The following is a 26,051-nucleotide window of genomic DNA, read 5'->3' on the forward strand; positions in this document are numbered from 1 at the left end:
TCAACTTTATTGAATGTGTTTATAAGCTTTAACTTTTTTTTTGGTGGAGTCCAAGATTTTCTCTATGTTAAGATTACACTGTCAGAAAACAGAGACAATCTTACCTCTTCCTTTCCTATTTGGATGCCTTTCATTTTTTTGCCTTGTATAATTACTCTGGCTAGTTGATTATATGTAATGTTTTCCGCATTTGTAACCTGACCTCAAATCCATCTGTTGTAATACACTGATTGTTACTTTTCAAACTTGAAAACCTGGACTTTTTCACTACTCTCCCTTTCTCTTGGTCTGCTTCTTATTAAAAAAAAAAAACCTATCAATGTAAACCAGGACAGATCATTATTTTTCTATAAAACAATTTCAAAGGCATTAAAAAATTTTTAATCTAACACTTTTAAACTTTGTATGTCAATGTTTAAACTGTGGTCTCGCAAAACAAATCCATTAACTTTAGTGGCAGAAATTACGCTAATCCCTACACTATCACTGGGTCTAGCCAAGAGTTGACCAAAGATGCTATTATTAGATATGCTTATTTATTACCTTGTTCTCACAGTTCTAGTGTAAGTCTTGAAAATCTAGAAAAAATTTGTAAAGATTATAGTTGCACAAACTCCCTCTCTCATGAGTCACAGTTAATCCAGAATATTACTTCTAAGTTATCATAAAGCCAACAAGTATGATATACTGTTTAAAAATAATCCTAATTTTATAAATATATTCTATAAATTAAACATGTAATCGATACTATTTATTGAATATCTCATAATTATATTTATTTACATAGAAACAAAGGAATCAAAAGCATCTCTTATATAACATTTAAATGACTAAAAATACTTGATAGCATTGCTACATAAATGCTATGTAAAAGACAACAGTAAAAATGTCATTCCCTACATTTGCTAAATATATTGAGACACATTATTTTTTAAATATATCACTAATGGTTGGTTCAAGTGGGCAAAAATGATTCTAAGTATTTAATTGTGGAAAAATGTAGTACAGGGGATAGTATTCATGTGATGGAAGGGTTTTAAATGGAGTCCAGGGATTAGCAGCAGCAGGACGTTTTAATGACCAACAGGTGCAGAGTCTAGGATACAAGACAGAACTGTAGATAAGTCTGAATCTTTTCAGCATATCTAGGAGACATGGCTAACTCCACCTGTTCCCAGGCCTTACCTAGAAATTTCACGGCTCCAAGCCAGGTAAACACAACAATTTTCCAAAGTCAAAGAATCAATTTATGACATTAAAGCACTTCTAAAATTTAACCTCTGACTTAAATTAGACAAAATGGATAGATTTTGAAGATATTTTTATTCTACCAATGATTTTAACACCGTCTTTATTTTCCAAAGATTAGTGAAGTCATGTGAAATAAAAGGCATTAGAGCCTCTGTTTTTCTGACAAAATATTTAAGAGCTTTCATTTTCTGTTAAGTCGAGTACTTAGAGCTCCTTTATATATACATCACATACACAACACTTCTGGACAGGACACGATCTAGCAGTTGTAAGTTTTTCTTTCACATTTTATGAACCCTAACACAACTTCCACAGACCATCTAGGACATGATTTAACTTTGTGACTTGTCCTGTATTTCCCTCTGTTGTGATTAGTCATTCTACTTTAGGACAAGAATTTGCCATACAAGATCCTCTCTCACATAACATTTCTTTCCTTCATAATATTTCTTACCATAAATACATCTTCATATCCACAACTTTCTTTAGATCTCTTCCCTCTACTAATTTCTGATGCCCACTCAAACCAAAAAGGTCAGATAATGCAAGGCAAAACAGGAGAGCCTTAGATTTTGAGAGGGACCTGTCTGCTTAAAGTTCTTGGGGTTCCATGAGGAAAACAGAGGTTTCTCCTAAAATGGGTTTGTGGCACCTTCTGTTTTTCCTTCAGCAGTCTCAGGCTATCAGAAATTACCTTAGATTCTCTCATGTGGGCATCAAGAGTGGCAACAAGAAAGATTAGGGAAATAATCCAGACAACTGAGCAAAAAAAGAACTTACTACTGTCCCTACTGTAAAGGTGGATAAACTGAGGCACCATGCGGTTTAAAAATTCATGTTCACATAGAGTCAGGCTCCACAGCTCACTCTCTTAACCATCCTGTAATTTTGCCGACTCTATGCCCAGTCACGGATGCACCTGTATGGTAGCTCATGGCCCCCTTAGAGCTTAGAATCTGGGTTTCATTCCTGCTCTACAGCTATATAATTTAACAATTTTCCTCTGAATTTGTTGGATTCTAATCCTACATATCTCAAATTTTATTATTACTGAATCTTAAAGGAGGCTGTGATGTCCTTAGTCTTTAGAAATATTAAACCTATAAATAAAGGGCTATATGAGGTTAAACGTATTCAAATTTCTATATGGTTTAAAACATTGAGGAAATGTATTGACAAACAAACTTAAGAAACTGCAACCAATCTACTCTGGACAAAAATTTAGATACTATCTCTTCAAAATAAGCTATCTAGTGGTATTTACACACATTCTTCCATATATCAACAGTATTTCACATGCTCATAACCTTAAAAATAACTGAAAGTGTCAGAATTATAGGCCTTACACATTTCTGTGGGCTTGAAAAATGATACAATATAGATTGTCTTTAAGGCAGCTAAGAAAATGCATAAACTTCTAGAGTAATCAGTTTAAAAAAAAAAAGAGTTCATACCAAAGGTAGTAATACTACGATTAAAAGAGAGCTCAACACTGCAGGTTCTTAAAGGCAAAAGTTAATAAAGCCTTGTTTTTGGTAGTGAATCTCTGCCTTGCAAAATTATACACATGATTCTCCCCCCTTCATTTGCCTCTTGCAAAAATGTGGTGATGAACCAGGTTTGCTCATGCAGATGATGATACTCTTCAAAATGGTTGCAGAGAAATAAAATGAAGGGAATATGGTTCACTTAATAATCTCATAAATTAGAACTTATTACCCCAGTGACTCTTACATAGCTCCAGACAAATATTTGAGAGAGATGAAATGGCCTTTTGCTACCAATATCTTATGTGATGCTTCACTTTTTGGTTCCTTGGATAACTACTTACAACTCATTAGCCCATTTATGCCAGAGGTTGCAATTTTTTGAATTTTTGCATGAGTGAAAAATCAGACCTTGTCAATGACCTTGAGCAGTATAAGTAACTCCCACATGCTTAGCGTTCCAATAATGGAACACTAGGCCTAAGTGGGTTAACACAATAATGAAATCATAGCTATTCAACTAATTATACGACTTATTTGTTTCCTCATCTCTAAAACATAGTAAGGGACCAGTTATTTTAAAAATACATCACAGTGACAAGTTTATTTTTCACTCAGTTTGGGCTTGTTGTTTAAGGTCATTGCTTGGCATAAAGAAAACAAAAAGAGGAGAAACAAGAATAGAAACATCAAATAGAAGCAGCAGCAGCAAAAGAAAATGAAGAGGAACAAGAAGAAGAAAATACAGACTGGAAGAAAGGAAAAAGAACAGGTGCGTGAATTAGAAGGCCTATTATACCTTTTATCCTTTCCTCGATTCATGAAATTTGAGTTAAGTCCAAGAGTATCACAACAAAAAACAAGCGAAAAGATACACAAAAAGTCACCCCCTGAATTTTGTTAAGAATTAGACAATGCTGCCACTCATGCCTGGCTCAGGCGCCAGCAGGAGGAGGGCACCCTCCAGAGATTGCAGGACAAGGAGGAAGACTCCTCCTTACCCTACATGCACCTCCACCACTGCCACTGAGGCCCGCATTATAGCACCTTAAGGTTCGTCCCCACCCCAGGACAGGATGGGCAAGTGAGCGCTCCTACTCCCCTTCCCAGCCCCCAGACTTGCCGCTGCTACCAACGCTAGCGCCGATGCCAGTACAACCGCTGTTGCCCTCAATGCACCAGCCCACCCTACAAGGCTCCTATCACTTGGCCCCCACGGGTGCCCTCCTACCACTCTGGTCAAGCTGCAGTCTCTGTTGCTGCCACCAACCTCATGAGGCAAGCTGCAGAGCCACGCCATCTACAGGCTCCAGCATACCACAGGTGACTCCTCCTCCTCCTCCAGCCTGGCTGGGAGCAGTTGCGCAGGCAAAGCCAGAGAAACCTAGAACAGGATGCAGGGAGTGGAAGTGTTAGAGCTTCACCTTGTCACGCTGGCCACTGGGCGGCAGGGACCATTTCATTAAAGGCACTCACACCCACCTTCCAAAGTCCAGCCTCTCTTTCTGGCAAAAGCTGGCCAGGAACTGGGGCCTGGGCTGGGTGTGAGTGCCTTCACTGAAACCGGCTCCTGGCCAAGTCCAGCTGGCCAGGAATTGCTGGGCCCATCGGCACTGCGCTCTTCGGGGAGCCCGCGTAGGAGAAACTCAGACCCAGCCAGCCCTCTCCACCCAAGTGCTGGTTCCCATTCCTCACGCCTCCACCCACAGTGCCCTGTCCCCCTCCCTCCCCCGTGGTGCCCTCTATTCCCTGCCCGGTAGTCCCAGATGGTCTCCACAACACAGAGCGTGCGTGAGGGCGCGGGCCAGGGAACCACAGTGGGTGTGAGAGCCCTGCGGTGCTCAAGATTGCATGAGCACGAAGAGATCACCCTCTAGAGTCTGGAGTCCGGGAAGAGAAGAACTCCATCCTTCCATGGAGGCCACCAGAAAGAGGAAGGAGGCCACAGCTGTCGCTGCCGCTGCTGCCTCTGCAGCCCACCAACCCCACTGGCAGTATAGCCCCCGATAGCACCCCTAACCTGCCCCCTGTAACCCTGGGATAGCACACCCAACAGCTGCAGGCAATGTAACCAATACCCCCCCAAACCATCCCAACTCCTCGGCCGCAGGCAGTGTTAGCACCCGATAGTGCCCACCTGACGCAGCCACGGGTATTGCTGCACTAGACAGCGCCCCAAACCCGCCCCACCCTCACCCCGCCATGGGCAGTGCAGCTCCTGATAGCGCACCCCCAGTCACAGGCAGTGCAGCACCGGACCACGCCCTTAAACCACCCCCCACTGCCAGCATTGTAGCCCCAGATAACTCCACCCAACCCGCCCCTGCCACGGACAGTGCAGCAGAAGACAACGCCCCTAAGCCATCCACCGCCACTGGCAGTACACGTTAGTGTACACAACCTGCCTCTCCCGACCACCCCTGCCACCTCGGGCAGTGTAGCCCCCCATTCCACCACCAGCAATGCAACCCCAGAGAGTGCCCCCAAACAGTCCAATGCCACAGGCAGTGTAGCCTTTGGCAGTGAGCCCCTATAGTACACCCAACCCTTACCCCCAGAAGAGGGCAGTGCAGCCCTGGATAACTCACCTACCCTACCACATTTCTACCACTGTGGCCGAGCTGCGGTCTCTGATTTCACCACCAACCGCAGCGAGGCGAGCCGCGGAGGCGCAAGCTCCGGCTCCAGCCTCCAGCACGCGGCGGTGCCTCTTCTTTCTGTCTTCCAGCCCGGCAGGAGAAGCTCTCGCTGCTAGCCTCCCTCCTACCGCTCCGTCACCACCACCACCAACAGGGAGGGAGTGCCCCAGGCTCCAGGCTCCAAGCTCCAGGCTCCAGGGGGCGAAAAGTGACGGAGCCTTCCAGTTCTTTAAGCCGGGTACGTAGTAGCTCCCCACACCCACACATAAGTGCCAGAAATGACGCGCCGCTGCCTCAGCATGCTTTATATACTGAGGTTAGGAGACCCTGGACTACATGTTCTGATTGGATGAGAGAAAAACCTCTAGGCCTACTCTGATTGGACTTTATTTTCATGCTGTGATTGGTTGTCTTAAGACTTGCTCTCATCCAATCAGAACATGCAGTCTAGGAACCGGCATGCGCATAACCTCAGGATATAAATAATGCTGAAGCAGAGTTACGTTTTTTTTGTTGTTGTTTTTTTTGTTTTTGTTTTTTTAGGTTTCCGTGTGTTTCTATTGAGCTGCTCAGTGCCCGGCTTAGAAGACCAGGAAAAGGAGTCACAGGTCGTATGCTGGAGGCTTGAGCCGCGGCACCGTGGCGCGGCTCGCCTCGCTGCGGTTGGTGGTGGCGGTGGACATTGCAGCGCGGCTGGAGGGGTAGGAAGAAGAAGATAGTTTTGGGATAGATAGAGGTGGGTAAAGAGTGTGGTTAGTGCCAAAGGGAAAAAAGGATAGCGAGGAGGAGAAGGCGTTGCAAAAAGACGATGGGGAAAAGATGGTGGGGAAAAAAGTTTTTGGGTAGATGGAGGTGGAAAAACAGGGTGCAGAGAGGGAGGGAAGGAAGGTTTTGCAGAAAGACGGTGGGTAGAAAGTTTATGGGTGGATGAAGGGGGAAAAGAAGGTGGCAATTGGGAAGAGGAAAGAGTGGTGAGGGGGGGAAAATGGGCGAGCAGTAGGGAGAGAAGGTTTTGTGAAAAGATGGTGGGGAGAGAAGTTTTTGGGTAGAGGAGCAAAAGAAGATAGCAAGTGGGAGAAGGAAAAAGAGGGTAACCAGCGGGAGGAAGACAAGGTTTTGCGAAAAAACAGTGGCAGAAAAGAAAGATGGTGGAGAAAAGATGGTAGGTAAAAAGTGTTTGGGTAGATGGAGGAGGGAAAGAGGGTGACAAGGAGGAGGAGAAAAGAGGGTGGCGAGAGGGAGCAGGGAAAGAAGTTTGGGGAAAAGACGGGAAAATAGTTTGGGGTAGATGGAAGGCAAAAAGGAGGGTGGCAAGCAGTATAGGGGAGAGAAGAGAACGAGTGGGAAGCAGGGGCAGACTTTGTGAAAAGATGGGGAAATTTTGGGGGGTAGATGGGGAAAAGAGGGAGGTGAGCAGGAGTGGGGAAAAGGCTTTGAGAAAAGATGGTGGGGAAATGTTTTTGGGTAGATGGAGAAGGGAAGGAGAGTGGCAAGGAGGAGCCGGGGGAAAGACGATGAGGAAAACAGTTTTTGGGTAGATAAAGGGGGAAAAGAGGGTGGTGAGCAGCAGTAGGGAAAAGGCTTTGGGAAAAGACGGGGGAAAATGTTTTTGCTTATATGAAGGAGCAAAAGGGCGTGATGACAGCGGGAGGGGGAAAAAGAGGGTGGCCAGGGAGAAGGGGGAAAATACGGTGGGAAAAAAAATACGGTGGGAGAAAGTGTTTGGGTAGATGGATGGGGAAAAGCGTGGTGAGCGGGAGAGTAGAGAAGGCTTTGCGAAATGACGGTAGGGAGAAAACGGTGAAAAAGTTTGGGGTAGATGGAGGAAGAGAAAGGGTGGTGAGAGGGAGAGGGCCAAATGCGGTCAGGAAAAGAAGGTGGGGAAATGGTGGGGGACAAAGGTTTTGGGTAGATTTTTAAAAATAAGATTATTTGTATTTTCACTTTTGAGTAGTTTGAATTCTTTAGATGTTTTGTGTATTAACCTCTTGCCTGATGCATAGTTTGCAAATACTTTCTTCCATTCTCTGGGTTCTGTCTTCATTATACTGATTGCTTCCTCTGCTTTGGAAAAGGCTTTAAGTTTAACGTAATTACATCTTTGCTTTTGTTGCTTGTGCTGTTGATGTCTATTTGAAAATTCCTTGTCCTAACCAATTTCATGAAGCATTTTATCCTATGTTTTCTTCTCTGGTAGTTTCATAGTTTCAGGTCCTGCATTTAAATCTTTATTTTGAGTAGATTTTTGTATATGGTAAGGTAATGGCCTAGATGTATTCTTGTACATGTGGGTGTTGGGTTTTCCTGGTACAGTTTATTGAAGAGATTGTCCTTCCCGAATGTGTGTTCTTGGGGCCTTTGTTAAAAATGAGTTGACCGTAAACGCGTGAATTTATTTCTGATTTCTCTATTCTGTTTCACTTGTCTATGTCTGTCTGTCTCATTCGTTCATCTCTCTGTCTCTCCCCTGCCCCTTTTATTGATAGTACCATACTGTTTTGATAGTACCATGCTTACCATAGATTTGTAGTATATTTTGAAATCAGGTAGTGTGATGCCTCCAGCTTTTCTTTTTATTCCAGATTCTTTTGTCTATCTGAGGTATTTTGAACTTCCATGTTAATTTTAAGATTCTTTTTCTATTTAAATGAAGAATGTCTTGTAGTTGAACACAGATTGCATTGATTCTGTAGATCGCATTGGGTGATATAGATATTTTAACATTCTTCTAGTGCATGGACATGGGATATCTTTCCATTTACTTGTGTCTGCTTTAATATCTTTCATCTATGTTTTATGAAGTTTTCATTTTGGGAAAAGAAGAAAATCTTTGTTCCTTTTTGAGAAGGTGAAAATTTTTTGGTTGTGTAATAAGATTTTGCTGTGTCTGCTAAAGTTGCCAAGCCATGCTAGACTGAGGAACGATGTTGCGTACAGAATGACACTCAAGTTGAAATGTGTCTGTGGGCTGTATGCCCCACCCTGCCCAAGCTAAAGTGGGAAAGGAGAGCCTTGCTTCCTCCAGGGCCTTGCCTGGTCCCACCCGACACTGCCTTCCCCTAACCTAATGAATTACTGTAATAGATTTTTCCGTGTTGAATCATTCTTGAATTTCTAGGTTAAGCCTGACTTTCTCCTGATGCACCTTTGCTTTAAATACTTCTGGATTTGATTTGATTTGTCAATCTTTCATGAATGTCTTTCTTAGCCTCCAGGTCCATAGATATTCAGAGCAATTCTTCCTAAAACAAGATGAGATTTCAGATGCATAAGCCAACCCCTCCCCAGTCTTAACATAATTTGGACAAGTGACGAGTCATTTAACCAGTGTACACCAGTTAGTCCCTAGAATAGATTAAAACATTTCCCCAAAAACTGAAAATGCAAGGTTAAGAGGTTTAGAAAAGTAGTTAATTTCTAAATATTGACTCTGTTTCTGGCTTTAACAATAAGTGACCCCATTTTCCATTCAAACTGTGATTGGTCATCCAAATTATAGACTCTTAAGATAGGCTCAATCAGAAATTTCAGAATTTAATTGCCATGAGATTTCTAACTCAAGTTTATCCAAAATAAGACACAAATACTCTTCTAAGATATTAAGTTGGAAATTTACATGTGTTTGAGGGAGGTAATCACTACAGGATAAGACACTAGGTTCAAATTTCAAGCCAATCAAGACAATTTTTATTTTTTATTTTTTTAGATGGAATCTCACTCTGTCACCCAAGCTGGAGTGCAATGGCGCGATCTCGGCTCACTGCAAGCTCTGCCTCCCGGGTTCACGCCATTCTCCTGCCTCAGCCTCCCGAGTAGCTGGGACTACAGGCGCCCGCCACCACGCCCGGCTAATTTTTGTATTTTTAGTAGAGATGGGGTTTCACCGTGTTAGCCAGGATGGTCTCGATCTCCTGACCCCGTGATCCGCTGGCCTCGGCCTCCCAAAGTGCTGGGATTACAGGCATGAGCCACCGCACCCAGCTGACAAATTCTTAACTAATCTATGTACTCTTTGCCCACAAGCATGCAGCCGCCAATTATGTGGGTTGACAGACGGAATTATAACCATATTTGCCACTGTTTCTGACAGAAGACAAGCCAAAGTCGCACTTTCCACATGTGGGTTTTTATTTCTAGTCCTTCACATTGACCATAGAATCGCCTGTGGCTTCCAAACCTGTCGTAAGCAGTTTGTTGTTGCTCTTCTGTATGTGATTAAGTGGATTTACCTTTTGTATACTCATAGCTACCATCTCTGTTTATCGTTCATTTAGGGTCCTTAGACAAGGTGCAAGACAAACAGAAGAGGGCATGTGGGGTCAAACTCGCTAGCTGCCTGCCTGATTTTTCTGCACACAGGTGAGATATTCCTGCACATCCTCTGGTGACCCCAGAATGAGGGGGACTCGCTGGTGAATTGCCTCGGGCTTCACGTCCAGTACAGGCTGGGTCCCCGTGGTCGCCAAGCCTCCTGCCTGCTCAATGATGTAGGCCACGGGATTGCATTCATACAGGAGCCGGAGCTGTGGAGGAACAGAGGCAGGTGAGTAAACTCTGCAAGTGGCCAAATGTCCCGAGCCATGCCCCTAAAGCTGGGGGAGGAGTTTGTACTGCGGTGCTTCCATCTGGCTAGCATGAGCGCACCATGCACCTTGCAAGAGTGGGCCCGAGCTTTAGAGCCTACAGCAGGCCAGATGCATCAGATGGCACTCATCCAGAAGCCTTGGGGGCCCCTCTGGCCAGGTGACTGAGCCATGTATCTACCCATCTTGTGATCCTTGTGCTTATGAGAGACCTGCCTCTTGACTTGGAAATATGAGATCTAGGCATCTATTTCTTGGTTCAACAAGAAGCAAACTGATGCTGCAGGCCTTGGTGGAAGCCTTTATATGTGAGACCTCAAGGCTGGTAAAGAGTCAAGCTTGGATGGGACAGTAAGGTCACCTTGACCATGCCGGCTTGTCTCTCTGGGGACAGCCACAGTGGCTGGGATTGTGTGGAGGAACTCCACATCTTAAGCTTTGACTTGTCTAACTAGTTTGCCGGTGTTTCAATGGTCTTGTCTTTTGACCCTTAGACTAAGTGAAATCCCATCGTTTGCACTCCCATAGCATCCTGTACTTCCCCTCTGGTACCACTCATCACACTGAGGCCTCTTTAATGCCTGGCTTCCTCTCTAGGCTGCTGTCCATCCTAGCTGGTCACTGTACTATCTGTATTCTCAGTAGTGCCGACACAGAGAAAGTGTTGGCTCCGGCCTGTAATCCCAGGATTTTGGGAGGCCGAGGCAAAAGGATCGCTTGAGTCCAGGCATTTGAGACCCCATTTGAGATAGTGAGACCCCATCTCTACAAAAAATTTAAAAATTAACCAGGTGTGGTAGCGCACACCTGTGATCCCAGCTATTCAGGAAGCTGAAGTGGGAGGATCAACTGAGCCCCGGAGTTCAAGGCTGCGGTGAGCTGTGATCATGCTACTGCCCTCCAGTCTAGGTGACAGAGCAAGAGCCTGTCTCAAAAACGAAGAAAGTGTCCAAGCAAGGCCACTGTTTCCTGCACGAGGGGTCCCAGCCGAGGGCAGAAACTGGGTTGAAATCAGCCTGTGCCCTGCTTGCCAGTCTCTGCACAAGATCCAGGGCTGCTGTTCAGAGGAAGGAAGGCCTTCTCTAACCCTCCTGCAGGCACATGAGAACTGGCAGGAGGCTGCCTGTGTCCTGTGAGTACGCAGTGAATTGAAATGAATGGGGTTGGATTGAATGGACTTTTTAGGTCTATTTCTGTGATGATGTCATGACGCCCCCAGCCTGACTCACAACACACACCCCCATCACCTTAGATTCAGGGTGTCGTTCTGGCCGAGGCCCTGCTGCTGTGCATGACTCAGTATCATCTTCTTCTTTCTCCCCATCAGTGCAACCTGTGTAACTTCCCAAAAGTTCATTCTCCATTATCACCTTACGAAATGGTTGACCCAGCTATGTGCAGCCTTTCCTTACCATTCTTTTCTTCCAGTCCGTTTTGGTGATATGTTTAAACTACTTTGAGAAAGAGTCATATATTATGGTAATTTTTTTCTATTTTTCTATTATATATTTATATGTTATTATATATTATATAATATATATTTACATATAATATGTTATATATTTATATAATGTTATTATATATTTTTTCTATTGTATATATTATATATATTAAGGAGAGGAACATGATGCCTTTGGTCTAGGCTGGAGATCCAGGCATTCGAGAGAAAGTAGGTGAAGACTCCATGGGGGTATTTACTGCCATTTTGGTCAGTGTAAGGTGCCCTCACCCTAGACCTCTGGCTCTTAAAGTAGTGGGTGTCCAGAAGGGTGTAAAAAAGTTGTGGTGCATGCGGGCTGTCTGGGGGCAGATAGTTCTGTCCCTCATTACCCACAGGAGGGACACTGGAGGCCATGCTGTCCAGGACAGTCTAGCCAAGGAGACTCTCACCTTGACAGCTTATAGCGCTCAGCATTTTTCTCCCCTTTTATGTGGGGGATTTGGGGTATCAGATAATAAAGTCTCAGATTGTAATCAATTATCCTGTTGAGTCAACTACTTTAATCAAAAAAAGCTCAGCATTAGTACCTAATGCGCTTGTCTTGGAGCCAAGTTACTTTTGTTCTGACCTCAGATGCCCCTGTTGTAGGAAATTTAATATCAAAATGCCCAGGGCTTCATGGCACCTTGGCCTGCAGGCCATGTGACATGTGACCTGTATTTTTTTTTTTTTTTTTTTTTTTTTTTTGAGATGGAATCTCACTCTGTCACCCAGGCTGGAGTGCAGTGGCGCGATCTCGGCTCACTGCAAGCTCCGCCTCCCAGGTTCACGCCATTCTCCTGCCTCAGCCTCCCGAGTAGCTGGAACCACAGGCACATGCCACCACGCCTGGCTAATTATTTTTTGTATTTTTAGTAGAGACGGGGTTTCACTGTGTTAGCCAGGATGGTCTCGATCTTCTGACCTCGTGATCCACCCGCCTTGGCCTCCCAAAGTACTAGGATTACAGGCGTGAGCCACCGCAGCCAGCCATGACCTGTACTTTCTCTGCAATTAAATCTACACAGCTATACAGATGCAGACACACACAGGATAGGAGTGTGCACATGCACACACAGACACACACACACAGAGAGACGTCGGCACAGGGACCATGACAGCAGAAATGCGGAGATTAGGATCCAACAGAACTTTCAGTATGGGTGGTGGTTATGCGCAGCAAACGCAGATCTATCTATGGAGTGACATGTGCTTAAGGGACATGAGTATGTGATCCCATGTGAGTATTTTCTGACTCATTTACGATCATTTGAATAATTAGTAATAACTGATCTTTATGTTCTCCCCAATGTAACTGAGTAAGTGACCAGAGTGGTTCTAAGAATTTCCATGTCTTCGCCGGGCGCTGTGACTCATACCTGTAATCCCAGCACTTTGGGAGGCCAAGGCGGGCGGATCACGAGGTCAGGAGATCGAGACCATCCTGGCTAACATGGTGAAACCCCGTCTCTACTAAAAATACAAAAAATTAGCCAGGCGTGGTGGCGGGCGCCTGTAGTCCCAGCTACTCTGAGGCTGAGGCAGGAGAATGGTGTGAACCTGGGAGGCGGAGCTTGCAGTGAGCCTAGATGGTGCCACTGCACTCCAGCCTGGGCGACAGAGCAAGACTCCATCTCAAAAAAAAAAAAAAAAAAAAAAAGAATGTCCATTGTCCATGTCTTCTACTTGCCTCACTTAGTCCTCCATGGTGCTTAGCTTTCCTTCAGCACCACTTCTGCAGGCTTATCAGTGTTCTTAGTTCAGTGGGTGAATACACCTGGGCTAAGCACTCACATGAAGAGAAACACCTGATACACCAACCTATTAAAATCTCTCTGGCTTCATGTGCTGTGTGAGATCTCTCAGCGTGGCTTTGATTCTTAGCATTCGAATAATTCAAATCTCAAGGTGACTCTGAGAGACAGAAAAATGTGTCGCTGGTTGTTGGTGTGTCAGAGAAAACAGAGGCCTTTATTTGATTTGACTACTTACCTACGATTTCTGTGATTGGCTAAAATTCAGATGCATTTTTATGGGAGGTTCTCTGCAAGATAGCTGGATCATAAGGTTCTCACTTGATAATACAAGTATTTTAAGTTTTGCATCATTAAGTTGCAATTAGACCTTCCAGGAACTACCTTTCCAGATATATTGGCTGAGTTCTGAGTAGAAGTTCTTATTCTGAGGTTTGGAAATTCTCTAGGGGATACTTGGGCGGACTTCAGGGCATCAGTGAACTCCCTCAACGTGTAATTTGTATGTAATGTGTACGTTTACATGCATTTGTTCTGGGAAGTGTGTTGATAAGTTTTATTAGGCTCCCTATAGGGACCATCATCCCAGATCAGCTGGTGCTGAAGCTAAAAGTCAGATGCAGCCTGTGGAAAGTGAGACACACAGCTGGTTCATGGTGAACGGTGGGTGTGAGGCTGGAGGGGGTAAGACCAGTGAGAATCACCAGTCACATAACGTCAGCCTGTCGCCTTCTTCTTCAAACCTCCCACAGCCTGGAGACTCACTCAAGGGAAACAGAGTTCATTTTTCCTCCCCTGCCCATCCCCACACAGACATGCCATGAAGCAGTGCAGTAGCCAAACAGCAGGTGTGACGGGAGGGAGCTCCCCCACCTCCCTGACCGGATGCACAGCCAGTGGACAAGGGAGAATTACCTTGCCCTTAGGGCTCTTCTGGTTGGCTGGGTACAGGAAGATTCCTCCATAGACCAGGGTGCGGTGCACGTCAGCCACCATGGAGCCCACATACCTGGCCCCATAGGGAGCACTGCCATCCTAGAAGACAGAAAGCGAAGAGACAAGATCCAGTGGCTTTCAGGATTAGCCAGCACCTGCTCGTGGTCACAAGTCCAGTTGGTGTGACCTCTGCCTTCTTGAATCCCTATCCTCCACCCACTAGTGTAGGAATTGAAAAGATTATATAATTGTGCATTTCATTTATTATGAGCTCCTCAAACCTTACCTTGTGACTGGACTTAACAAATGCAGGACTGCTTAAAGTATGAGACAATATCCTGCAGCAATCTTAAAAGAGCCGCTAAACAAACAAAGAAAAAGGAAGTCACCCATCCCACATGCAGTGCCACCTATAGGCTCAAAATAAAGGGATGGAAGCCAAACATATAGAAAGCAGAAAAAAGCAGGGGCTGCAATCCTAATTTCAGACAAAATAGACTTTAAACCAATAAAGTTCAAAAAAGACGAAAAGGACATTACATAATGGTAAAGGGCTCAATTCAACAAGAAGACTTAACTATCCTAAATAATATGCACCTAACACAGGGGCACCCAGATTCATAAAGCAAGTCCTTAGAGACCTTCAAAGAGACTTAGACACCCCCCCACAATAATAGTGGCAGACTTCAACACCTCACTGACAGTAATCACTGAAGCAGAAAATTAACGAAGATACTCAAGACCTCGAATCAACACTAGACCAAATGGATCTGTTAGACATCTATAGAACTCTCCACCCAAAACCAGAAAAATATACATTCTTCTCATCACACACAGCACATACAGTAAAATTGGAACACACAATCAGACGTAAAACAATCCTCAGCAAATGCAAAAGAACTGAACTCATACCAACCACTCTCCAACCACGGCCATCTCATTACTGGGTATATACCCAAAGGAATAGAAATCATTCTATTGTAAAGACACATGCACATGTATGTTCACTGCAACACTATTCACAATAGCAAAGATATGGAATCAACCTAAATGCCCATCAGTGGTAGACTGGATAAAGAAATGTGCTACATATACACAATGGAATACTATGCAGCCATAAAGAAGAATGAGATCATGTTTTTGCAGGAACATGGGTGGAGCTGAAGGCCTAATTATCTTAAGTAAACTAACACGGAAATAGGAAACCAAATGCCACATGTTCTCACTTATAAGTAGGAGCTAAATGATGAGAACACATGGACACAAAGAGGGAAACAACAGACACTGGGGCCTACGTGAGGGTGGAGGGAGGGAGGAGGGGGAGGAGCAGAAAAGATAAGTATTGGATACCAGGTTTAGTACCTGGGAGACAAACAATCTATACAGCAAACCCCCATGACAGGAGTTTACTTATATAACAAACCTGCACAACTACCCCTGAATCTAAAATAAAAGTGTAGAAAATAAAATTACACCTGCATCATAGGAATATGTTATAGTGTTCTGAACCACTGTAGGATGAATATATTTAACAATAATATATGACATATTTTCAAAAAGCTAGAAGGAGGATATTGAATGTTCCCAACACAAAGAAATAATAAATGTCTGAGATGATGGATTTCCTAATTATACTGATCTGATCACTGTATATTATATATAATGAAACATCAGTATGTATCCCATAAATATGTACAATTATTATATGTCAATTAAAAATAAAACAATGGGTCTGGCATGGTGGTTCACGCCTGTAATCCCAGCATTTTGGGAGGCCAAGGCAGGTGGATCACCTGTGGTCAGGCGTTCAAGACCAGCCTGACCAACATGGTGAAATCCCATCTCTACTAAAAATACAAAATATTAGCTGGGCATGGTGGCGGGAGGCTGTAATCCCAGCTACTCGGGAGGCTGAGGCAGGAGAATCGCTTGAACCAGGGAGGCGGAGGTTGCAGTGAGCTAAGATCGTGCCACTTCAGCCTGGAGACAGAGCAAGACTCCACCTCAAAAAAAAAAAAAAAAAAGATGTTCCCAGTGGGGTTTTTGAGGGTGGAGTATCTTACACATGAATTTTGTTTACATTTTCTTATATTTTTTGTTGTCTTTATGTGATGTGTTACACAGGAACACAATTTTTATATTTGGGGAAAACATTAAGTCATAAAATCAAAACATTTAAATACAGAAAGAATCTTTCAGCAGACACACAGTGAACTATCAGGAACTAGAGATGGAACCCATATTCCTAAGCTCCTAGTTTTTTAGCCCAGAAGGACTTGACATAACAGAGACAGGTGTTTCTACTCTAACTTACCTTTGCTCTATAAAGAAAAGCTACGAGAAATCTCTCAGTTAAAGATATAGGTAGATAGATGATAGATAGATAGATAGAAAATAGATACATAGATGATAGATAGATAGATAGATGATAGATAGGTGAGAGTGAGGGAGGGAGCGAGGGCAGGAGGGAGGGATAACTATAGATGCTCGTAACTTGGGGGAGGAGAGCAAGGGCCTCTGAAGGTGTAGGATACAATTTGCCCTTGACTAATTACACCCATTCATTTTTACAACATTGGGGAGAAACATCCTTGGCCCACATCTGCTTATTTTGAGAGTGTTCTGAGAAAGCCACAGTTTTAGCAGAAAAAGCCCAGGAAAGTTCACCGTAGAGTTCTTCTCCACCACATGAATGCTCCTGCTTAATCTTCTCATCAAACAATGGCAATTTTGCAAGAGTTTTGATGGAAAATCACTATAATCCTGATTTAGCTCCTTTTGACTTCTTTTTGTTTCCTAATCTTAAAAAACCTTTAAAGGGCACTGTTGGGAACAGGCCCCCCAAAACCTGGCCATAAACTGGCCCCAAAACTGGCCATAAACAAAGTCTCTGCAGCACTGTGACATGTTCATGATGGTCTTAATGCCCACGCTGGAAGGTTTTGGGTTTACCGGAATGAGGGCAAGGAACACCTGGCCCGCCCAGGGTGGAAAACCGCTTAAAGGCATTCTTAAGCCACAAACAATAGCACGAGTGATCTGTGCCTTAAGGACATGCTCCTGCTGCAGTTAACCAGCCCAACCTATTCCTTTAATTTGGCCCATCCCTTCCTTTCCCATAAGGGATACTTTTAGTTAATCGAATATCTATAGAAACAATGCTAATGACTGGCTTGCTGTTAATAAATAGGTGGGTAAATCTGTTTGGGGCTCTCAACTCTGAAGGCTGTGATTTCCCACTTCACACCTCTATATTTCTGTGTGTGTGTCTTTAATTCCTCTAGCTCTGCTGGGTTAGGGTCTCCCCCACCAAGCTGGTCTTGGCAGGGCACCCATTTTTCTTCAGCAAATAACATTAAAAAGACTGCCTTAAGATTAAATTCCCAGTATCTCAGTTCATTACAGATGGATTAAAGGGTTGGTATGAAGCCTTACAAAAGCATCTGAACTTGATGGAGCTTATGTTGAGAAATAAAGTTTATATTTTATGTTTCTAATCTCTTTTAATTTCATTTTTCCATGAACTTTTTGAAGGCCTCTCATATAATTATTTATTCTAAAAGCAAATGCAACTGAGTGAGTCTATAGGTTGGAGCTTAAACAAATGACTTCAGAGAGGATCTGGCGTGAGCTCTGAATTTTGTAAATGTGATCTCTGCCTTCTTTATAAAGAATTTATCCTGGAAAAACTCAAATGTAAAGATAAGTACTACCTTTAGAAGGTAAATTTTAGCTATATAAGATACTGAATGCTTATGAAGAAAGGCAGAGTCCATCATCTTCATACTGACCACAGCCATAAACAGTGGCACCAACCTCTTTCAGCAAAGCCCCTGAAGCCACCACCCAAACAGGACCCCATGGGGACAGCATTCTGTCTGCCACCCACCTGGCTTTCTTCACTCACCTCAGGGAATTTCTTTTTCTGCACATATTCAGTGGTGGCCGCATCAAAATACTTGGCATAGCCCTCATTCAGGCTGTAAATCTTTCCTTTCTTCTTAATCTTGACATCTTTTTCCACCAGGACAAATTCACCAAGAGCCTAGCAACATGAAGAGAGATGCCAGGAAGAAGAGAGAAGCCAGGAAACAAGCCAACCGCACAATCCCCACATCAGAGCAGGAGAAGATGGGGGCCTGCTGGCAGAGCTGGGGCTTGGCTGTGGTCACTCTGAACCTGCTCTTTGGTGTTTTCATGAGTGGTGGGAAGAATAGGGACCATATGGAGCCCACACAGGAAGCTCTAGCAGTAACACAGCAAGCAGGAAGACAATTCTAAGGAAGCAGCCCATAGTCTTCTTTCTTTTCCTGTGCATCTTCCACTGTCAGTGAGGCTCCTCATTTATGGTGAACCCAACTGTGTGTATCTCCCAAGTTCTCACCCGCAGATTAATGTTTTCAGGAAGATAGGCCATCAACAGTGAGAGGAAGAAGTTACATTGTCGTATGAGGGATGCATTTTAACCATTAATTTGTGGTACAGGCTGGGCGCAGTGGCTTATGCATGTAATCCCAGCACTTTGGGAGGCCGAGGTGGGTGGATCACGAGGTCAGGAGATCGAGACCATCCTGGCTAACATGGTGAAACCCCGTCTTTACTAAATATACAAAAAATTGGCCGGGCGTGGTGGTGGGCACCTGTAGTCCCAGCTACTCGGGGGGCTGAGGCAGGAGAATGGTGTGAACCCGGGAGGCAGAGCTTGCAGTGAGCCGAGATCGCGCCACTGCACTCCAGCCTGGATGACAGAGCAAGACTCCATCTCAAAAAAAAAAAAAATGTGTGGTACAGTTATTTTGTTTATGTTAGTGATTCAATCATAGAAACTATTCAGTTTCTGGTATCCCACTCTTACCTGGAGAAAAGAGGAAGCCGCTTTCATCAGACACTGTGTTCACCCAGCGTAAGGAAAAAGTTGGTAAAATCTAAAGGAATCCTCAGACATATTAATAAAAGTGTGCCCAGTCCCTCTCCACAACCCATGTAGCCACTGTGGTCAGTACCTGCAGGGCATCTCTCAAATACCCCTATGTCTAGTTCTGGTGATATCAGTCACTAAAAATGGGATCAGCTTGTGGCAGATACCACCTTAAATGCTCATGTCTGTCTCAGTCACTAGGAGGAAAACCAGAGCCTGGAAACCAGATCCATTTTGATGAATGTCCAAGATTTTGAGAGTGAAAAACTCCAAAATGACAGCTCACAGTTGGCAGCTAGGCCAGAAGGTTCCCAAGGAACATCAGAGGTATTCCCGGAATATAAAGAGGCAAGGCCACAGAATGACTCCACATAGCAGAGGTGTTGCTACGAGAGGTGACACTGTCCCTGTCAGAAACAAGTCAGTGCCAAGGAGACTCAATAACAAAAACAACTAAACAATCCTTTCCTGCCTAACATGAGTGACAACTGCTTCTATATCAGTGACTTCAATCTCTCTGCCTCCTAGATAAAAATGATTAAGGTAACTAGTCATTAATTGCACCCACTTCCAGACAATATCCAATCCAGACTGACCCTCTCTTCCTCAAATCCTCTTTAGAATTACCAAGCAAAACCCCAAGTCCTATAAGCCCATCTCAACTCCCTCCTTATGCAACACCCCATGGTTCCTCTGCAGTGCCTGCTAAATCTAACTTCGGGTTATTACAGGTGCACGAGTGATGGTCTTTGACTCATGACCTTTAACTTGCTGTGGGTGTCTGTTGCTTTGGAGCAGCCCAGCGCTGATTTCTACTTCTGAAAAGTGCCCTGACTTGCTTTGAATTGGATGCCAGTCTAGGAAGACTCATATCTGGGCCTCTTGTAGGCCAAGGTCAGGCATGTACCTTAGCTTGAAAATGAGATACGCCTCCCTAGGATTTGAAACCTGAGTGAGAGGCGCAGCACTGGGGGTGGTGTCCAGGCCAGACCGGCCATGTTGCGAGACCACTGCCGTGCTTCCTGCTTCCTGGTCCTCTAGTCCTGCCCGTTCCTAGCCAGGGTCCTCAGCTTTCCCATCAATGCAGTAACTCCTTTCACTTAATTGAGCCGGGGTCAATTTTGCTGTTGCTTTCCAGCAAAGAGGATGGAGATGCACAACTGTCATCTGAACAGTGGCACTCACTCACCACCTGAACAGAGGCGCTCATTCTGCATCAGGGCGGGTGAAAACGCCTTACGTTGATCCACTCCTGGGGCTGGGGCCGGGACACTCAGGCCCTGGGAATATTGTTTCCACAGTTTTATTAACCTGGAAAATGTGTTCCTTTGTTCTGATTGTGTGGTCACCAACAACGGCTGATTTTTAATATGGGCTCTCATACACCCTGTTACCGATTATCAGACACCAGATCCTGGTCACAAGAAACAACAGCTCCCATTTGTAAATGAATGCCTTGACATTGAGCTTTACCCACAATGGAGAGTTGGTTAACAGGAGGTGGTCTCTCTGTGCCTGAACAATATGTGTGTTCTGACAAAATCAAATCACCAGCCCTGCAATCCCACAGACCTCACAGGCTCAGTTTGACCCACCAGGGAATGCTGCCTCCATAAGCTACTGGCCGCCTTCCATGGCATTTCTATCTGTGACAACTGCCACAAGCTACCTCCGCTGGATGTCAAACAGGCACTAAGCTTTGTGCACTGGGTCTTTGCTCAAATGTCCTTTTTAGTAGGGAGATGTGATCCAAAGGGGTTTCAGGCTAATACATAGAGATCCGGAAAGATGCTATGGTTCATCTCTTCCTTCTGTCATGTTGACAAGCTCTGGTGCCCACCTATGTCCAGACTGGGCCCTGCTTTCATGACTGAGGGCAGAAAACAGAGGCTCTGTCTGTGCCTGGGAATCTTTGAATTGGGTCCCTGAGTCAAAGCATCTCCCATCACCTTTAGAACTGCTCAGAATGTTCATGGAGATATTTTGCTTGTACTCAAGAGCAGTTGTGTTGGAAATTTAGTGTGGTAGAGTAATTAAAGCACAGACTGCTGGAGCATGACTCCTGACACCAGTCACTAGCTTGACCTTGCGCAAGTTACTCACTCTCTCTACGCCTCACTTTCCCCATCTGAAAATGGGAATAATTGTAGGACATATCTCATAGGGCCACTGTGACATTTAAATGCATTAATAGATGTAAATTTCATAGGACAGGTACTTTACATTCCTACCACTTACGAAGAATTATCTAACTCTTAGCTGTTATTCTACAACAACTTTAGAAAGGGTGTTTTATTGTCTGAGGGTAATATTTGCAAGCCATAGAATTTCTCAGGGTTTGCCAGCTTCTTTGAACATAAAGGGAAATTGGGGCATTAGCAAACTGACACAGCAATGGGTCTTGGTCTAATGGGCATACAGGTGAAAAGATTCTATTTGAAAAGTTTCTGGGTTTCCATACTGTAAACTCTGTTTTGTAAGTTAACTCCATGTCATTTTGAAATTTTGCAAACCCCTCTCTCCACACATGTGCACTAACACGTGAACTCCACAAGGGCTGTCATGTGTGTTTGATCAATGCTCCATCTCCGCTGTCTGGAGTGGTGCTTTGGGACACAGTAGATGCTCAATAAACAGCTGTAAATCAAAAACTTAAATACTTAACCTTTTGGTCTAAGTGAACAAGAGGTTTTGACGTGTTCTTTGGTGGATATTATCTGAGTTTTCACAAGACCTCAGTATACTTGGCAAAGCATTTCACAATTGATGGGCAAGCCATCCAGCATTTAAAAGTGAAATTCATGGAGCATTCTACTGGATGGTGCTGCTCTAACGAACCCATGCTTCTGCTGGAAATTTGCAGCATTGTGATTCTTAAATCATGGCATTCTCATAAGCCAAAGAGATTGAGTGCATTTTTGGAAAATGAGCTCCTTAAGGAGAGGGCCTGAGTTGATGCAACTGGCTCTGCAGGACACTCCTCCCCCCGAGTGCCCTCACTGGGACAGAGGCCCTTCATGGTTTCTGATGATGGTTTTGGCTCCCCAAACTAGGCTCTCAGGACCCCTGGTCCCCAAAACAAGTATTAGGAATAACCAGGACATTATCGCAGAGAACTGGCATTAAGGCACAGAGGCCCATGGAGTCCCCAGGCACAGATGATGCCATATTCTGTACCTACCGGGTCAAGCATGAAGAGGTCCACGCCTTGCCCTGTGGAGAGAGCCACCAGGGTTGCACTACCGTACAGCGCATAACCTGCGGCCACAATATTGCGGCCACACTGCAGGGCATCCTTTTCAGAAGGCTCATCCTCTGAGGTCTGTGGAAGAGAGGGATAAATGCCATGTGTTATTGTTGTCTCTGGAGAGAACACTTTGCCAGGGGCCTGGGCTTCAGATCTCCTCGAATCACTGAAGGAAGCGCGGTTCTTTGAATTTTAAGCTGCTGCAAATCCATCCAGAGGAAACGAGTGGCCATGTTGCCAACAGTTCTAGCTGAGCCATGGCAAAGGCCATTCTTGGACTTCTTCCTTCCTGTTTTCCAAACGCATGTGTCTGTAGCCTGACAAGAAAAGCACTCCCAGATGCTAAAACCGTAGCCCCTCTTCATCATAAGCCATGTTCCCAAGCCACGATACTCACAACTCAGATCACTGAGCTGAGCGTGCAGTGTCTCACTCTGCACACTCAACAGCCCTTTGGGGCAGATAGCACCATCACCTCCATGGCTCAGAGGGAGAACTCTGAGAGCAAAACCACCTAAGATTAACAACCTACTGCAGCTGGAGCGGCTGCACAACTCGCCCAGCAGCAGGAAGCCCTGATTCTGCCTTTCTCTCTGACTCTGTGGATGCTCCTTCTCACTTGCCTCTCTTCCCGGCAGCACCTCTTCCTCTGATTCCTTAAATGTTGGTGCTCCTTCTGGTCCTTCTGTGGCCCTTGGTACATCCAACCGGTGCAAAATGATTCTTCCTCACCCCCTTATCCAAAATGGGGACTCTTAGCTGCTACATTTGTATTGAGTTACCCCGTCTCCCACGACACACACACACGCACACTTATTTGATGGGGTCAAGGATAGATTCATAGATTAGTGATTCAAACTGGCCCAATGTGAGTCTCTCCTCCAGAAACCTAGAACTGGAGTACAGCATTGTTGTGATGTACGTAGAAGCTTTGTAAACCCGAATGTTCTTGCCTCCATGTTCTGACCTCATGGTCTGGTCTTCCAGCGCTTGACGCCATGAGCACTCAGAGCTGCTTCTCTGAAGCTCCCAACACATTTTCATTCACGGGCTTAGTGTCTGACTTCCCAGCTAGACTGTGAGCAACTTGGTGGCAAGTACCAACTCCGTCTTGTTCCTGTCTGTTTACCCATCACCTAGCACAATCCAGTCCACAGATATTGCATTTAATTCACACACACACACAACACACACATGAGTTTACACACACACATATATACATGCATACATGCAGTGATTTTCAGCATAAGAATCCTATACACATTTTTTGGATTTATACTGTTCCATTTTTTGTGTGATTGTAAATAGCACATATTTTAAAATGTAATTATAATTACGAATTAGTTTATTGCTAATATATAGAAATCTAGTTGATTTTGTATCTTGATCTTGTATCCTGTGACCTTGCTAAACTCACTAGTTCTAGAAGTGTTTTGGTTTTCTGTTTGTAGGTTCCTTGGGATTTTCTACATAGACCATCATGTCGTCTGCAAGAACAGTGTTATTACCTGCTTTCCAATCTGTATGTGTTTCATCATCTTCCTTGCCTTATTGTGCTGGCTACAACTTTCAGGATTACATATGTTGGGTAACAGTGGCGAGTGAGGACATCCTTGCTTTGTTACTGATCTTAGAGTATAAGCATTCAGTCTTTCACCATTAAATGTAATGCTAGCTGTAGATGTACTTGATAGAGTTAAGGGACGCTCCTCCTCTATTTCTTGTTTTCTAAGACTTTCTGTTTTTTCAGAGACAGGGTCTTGCTCTGTTGCCCAGGGTGGAGTGCAGTGGCTTGGTCATGGCTCACTGCAGCCTCCAACTCCTGGGCTTAAGTCATCCTCCCATCTCAACTTCTTGAGTAGCTGGGACTACGGGTATGCACTACCACCCCCCTCTCCAGCTAATGTCTTTTTTGAGATGGGGGTCTTGCTATGTTGCCCAGGCTGGTCTCAAACTCCTGGCCTCAAGCAATCCTCCTACCTCAGCAAGTTTCTTTTTTAAATAATGAATGAGTGTTGAATTTGTTCAAATGTTTTTTCTCCATCAATAGATACGATTATGTGATTTTTCTTCTTTAGCCTGTTGATATGGTGGATTACACTGACTGATTATGAATACTGGATCAGTCTTCCATCACCAGAATAAACCCCACTCAGCCATGGTGTATAATTTATTTTATGTATTGTTGAATTCTATTTGCCAATATTTTGTTAAGAGTTTTTGCATTTATTGATAAGGAATATTGGTCTGTGGTATTTTTTTGAACAATCTTTGTCTGGTTTTTGTATCAGGATAACACTGGTTTCATAAAATGAATTGGGAAGTGTTCCTTCCTATTATCTTTTCTGGAAGAGACTGAATAATCTGTGAATATTTGTTATGTTTTTCCAGTAAACCATCTGAGCCTGGAGATTTCTTTTCTTGGGCATGAGTTTCTTAATAGTATTGAGCCCTGTAGATAGCCATTCAAAGTATCTATTTTATATTGGGTGAGTTAGAGTATTGTAGTTTTTGAGACATTGGTTCGTTTCATCTAAGTTGTCAAATGTATGCATGTGGAGTTGTTTCTAATATTCTCTTTTTATCCTTTTGAAAAACAAGGCAACCTGAGATTAACAATCTACTGCATAAATACACAATTCTCTGATCATTTTCCCAAGATAAATTCCCAATAATTAAATAATTGGGTAAAAATCTTTTGATACATATTGAAAAATTGTCCTCCAGAAAGAGTGCATCAATTTATACTTTTACCACTAATAATAAGAGAGTTCATTTTAATTCAGCCTGGTAAACACAAGATAGCATTGTCTTTTCAACTTTGTCAATTTGACAGGTGGACAAAATGACATCTCTTTTGTTTTAACTTCTATTTTTTATGAGTCAGGTAAAACCTTTTATATGTTTATTTTGACCATTTTTATTTTGTAAGTTGTCTCTTTCATGTCTTGCTTATTTTTCTATCAGGATATTCAACTTCTTGTTTATTTTAATAGCTCTTTATATATAAAGGATATTAATGTCTTGTATATGTCACAAATATTTTCCTCGATTGTCATTGCCTTCTTATTTATGGTGCCTGTTTTTGCAGTGCAGTTTTAAAATTAAAATTATTCATGACATTCCATATGTTTTCTTCTCTTGTCTTTATGTTTAGACTGAATTTCTCCTACATCAAGACAGGGTGACACAAATATTCTTGTCTTTTCTTTCTGGTTTTATTCCCCACCTCTCTACCAAACTCATCAACTCATCTGTAATTTATTTCTATGCATGGAAAAAAAAGAATGGTTCAGTTTTTGTATTTGTCTAACACGGTCCTGAGATTTCAAAAACCCAGTTTATATCAGCAATCTTCATTGCCATGACACCTTTCTCAGTAAATTTTATAGTAGTTTGCAAATGATTTAGTGCGTCTTTTTATTTTTTTCTACACCAATAAATATCTGAGCCCATCAGATAAGTGGTGCTTCCTACCACTACTTTTTGGTAAAATTAATGAAAATTGCAAGAGCTCCATGTATTTGGTGGTAGAAATTATGAAATGTGGACTTTTTTCCTTTTTGTTGAGGTATAAAGCATATAGCAGAGCATACAAATCTTAATGGTACATCTTGATAAATTTTTACAAATATATAATATACACTTATGTGTATTTATAGAATATTTTACATAACATCCAGATCCATTTATATAACATTTCCAGCAACCTAGTGGACTTTAAGCCTAGTGAAGCCAGGCCTAGTAGTCTCTTCC

General features: G+C 43.6%; 1 protein-coding gene and 2 long non-coding RNA genes across 16 annotated transcripts in view, besides 3 other annotated features; 1 reads left to right on the forward strand and 2 right to left on the reverse strand.

Annotated features, from left to right (window-relative positions):
• Nucleotides 1-1,304: 1,304 nt before the first annotated feature.
• LOC124902218 (uncharacterized) lies at nt 1,305-5,657 on the reverse strand. The gene is made up of 2 exons (XR_007061674.1): nt 5,327-5,657; nt 1,305-4,122 (listed from the first exon to the last, which is right to left on the reverse strand). It is a non-coding gene; the product is annotated as an uncharacterized LOC124902218 (long non-coding RNA).
• Nucleotides 4,063-4,725: an enhancer, noted in NCBI's record as "H3K27ac-H3K4me1 hESC enhancer chr9:97315577-97316239 (GRCh37/hg19 assembly coordinates)". NCBI's record gives its function as "activates a minimal SCP1, AML or CMV promoter by ChIP-STARR-seq in primed H9 embryonic stem cells {active_cell/tissue: H9 hESC(primed)}" and the evidence as "EXISTENCE:reporter gene assay evidence [ECO:0000049][PMID:30033119]".
• On the forward strand, nt 5,367-25,422 carry PCAT7 (prostate cancer associated transcript 7). Of its 14 annotated transcripts, none has more exons than NR_185904.1 (4): nt 5,367-5,615; nt 5,921-6,113; nt 9,737-9,920; nt 18,158-21,705. It is a non-coding gene; the product is annotated as a prostate cancer associated transcript 7 (long non-coding RNA). The 14 variants fall into 14 exon arrangements; NR_185905.1 differs by lacking the exon at nt 5,367-5,615 and adding an exon at nt 23,747-25,422 and having other exon boundaries at nt 5,851-6,113; nt 9,652-9,920; nt 18,158-19,591; NR_185903.1 differs by lacking the exon at nt 5,367-5,615 and adding an exon at nt 23,747-25,422 and having other exon boundaries at nt 5,851-6,113; nt 18,158-19,591.
• Nucleotides 5,390-6,052: an enhancer, noted in NCBI's record as "NANOG-H3K27ac-H3K4me1 hESC enhancer chr9:97316904-97317566 (GRCh37/hg19 assembly coordinates)". NCBI's record gives its function as "activates a minimal SCP1, AML or CMV promoter by ChIP-STARR-seq in naive and primed H9 embryonic stem cells {active_cell/tissue: H9 hESC(naive and primed)}" and the evidence as "EXISTENCE:reporter gene assay evidence [ECO:0000049][PMID:30033119]".
• Nucleotides 9,378-9,878: an enhancer, noted in NCBI's record as "H3K4me1 hESC enhancer chr9:97320892-97321392 (GRCh37/hg19 assembly coordinates)". NCBI's record gives its function as "activates a minimal SCP1, AML or CMV promoter by ChIP-STARR-seq in naive H9 embryonic stem cells {active_cell/tissue: H9 hESC(naive)}" and the evidence as "EXISTENCE:reporter gene assay evidence [ECO:0000049][PMID:30033119]".
• FBP2 (fructose-bisphosphatase 2) overlaps nt 9,488-26,051 on the reverse strand; it is a 35,105-nt gene continuing 18,541 nt past the window's right edge. Inside the window, exons 4-7 of the mRNA NM_003837.4 lie at nt 22,230-22,370; nt 18,038-18,175; nt 14,110-14,229; nt 9,488-9,900 (exon numbers count right to left, since the gene is read on the reverse strand). Of these exons, the coding sequence (NP_003828.2) occupies nt 9,706-9,900; nt 14,110-14,229; nt 18,038-18,175; nt 22,230-22,370 (594 nt within the window). The 3' untranslated portion in view covers nt 9,488-9,705. The remainder of the gene's footprint in view (nt 9,901-14,109; nt 14,230-18,037; nt 18,176-22,229; nt 22,371-26,051) is intronic.

The sequence above is a fragment of the Homo sapiens genome, chromosome 9 (genome assembly GCF_000001405.40).
Source record: "Homo sapiens chromosome 9, GRCh38.p14 Primary Assembly".
NCBI classification, from domain to species: Eukaryota; Metazoa; Chordata; class Mammalia; order Primates; family Hominidae; genus Homo; species Homo sapiens.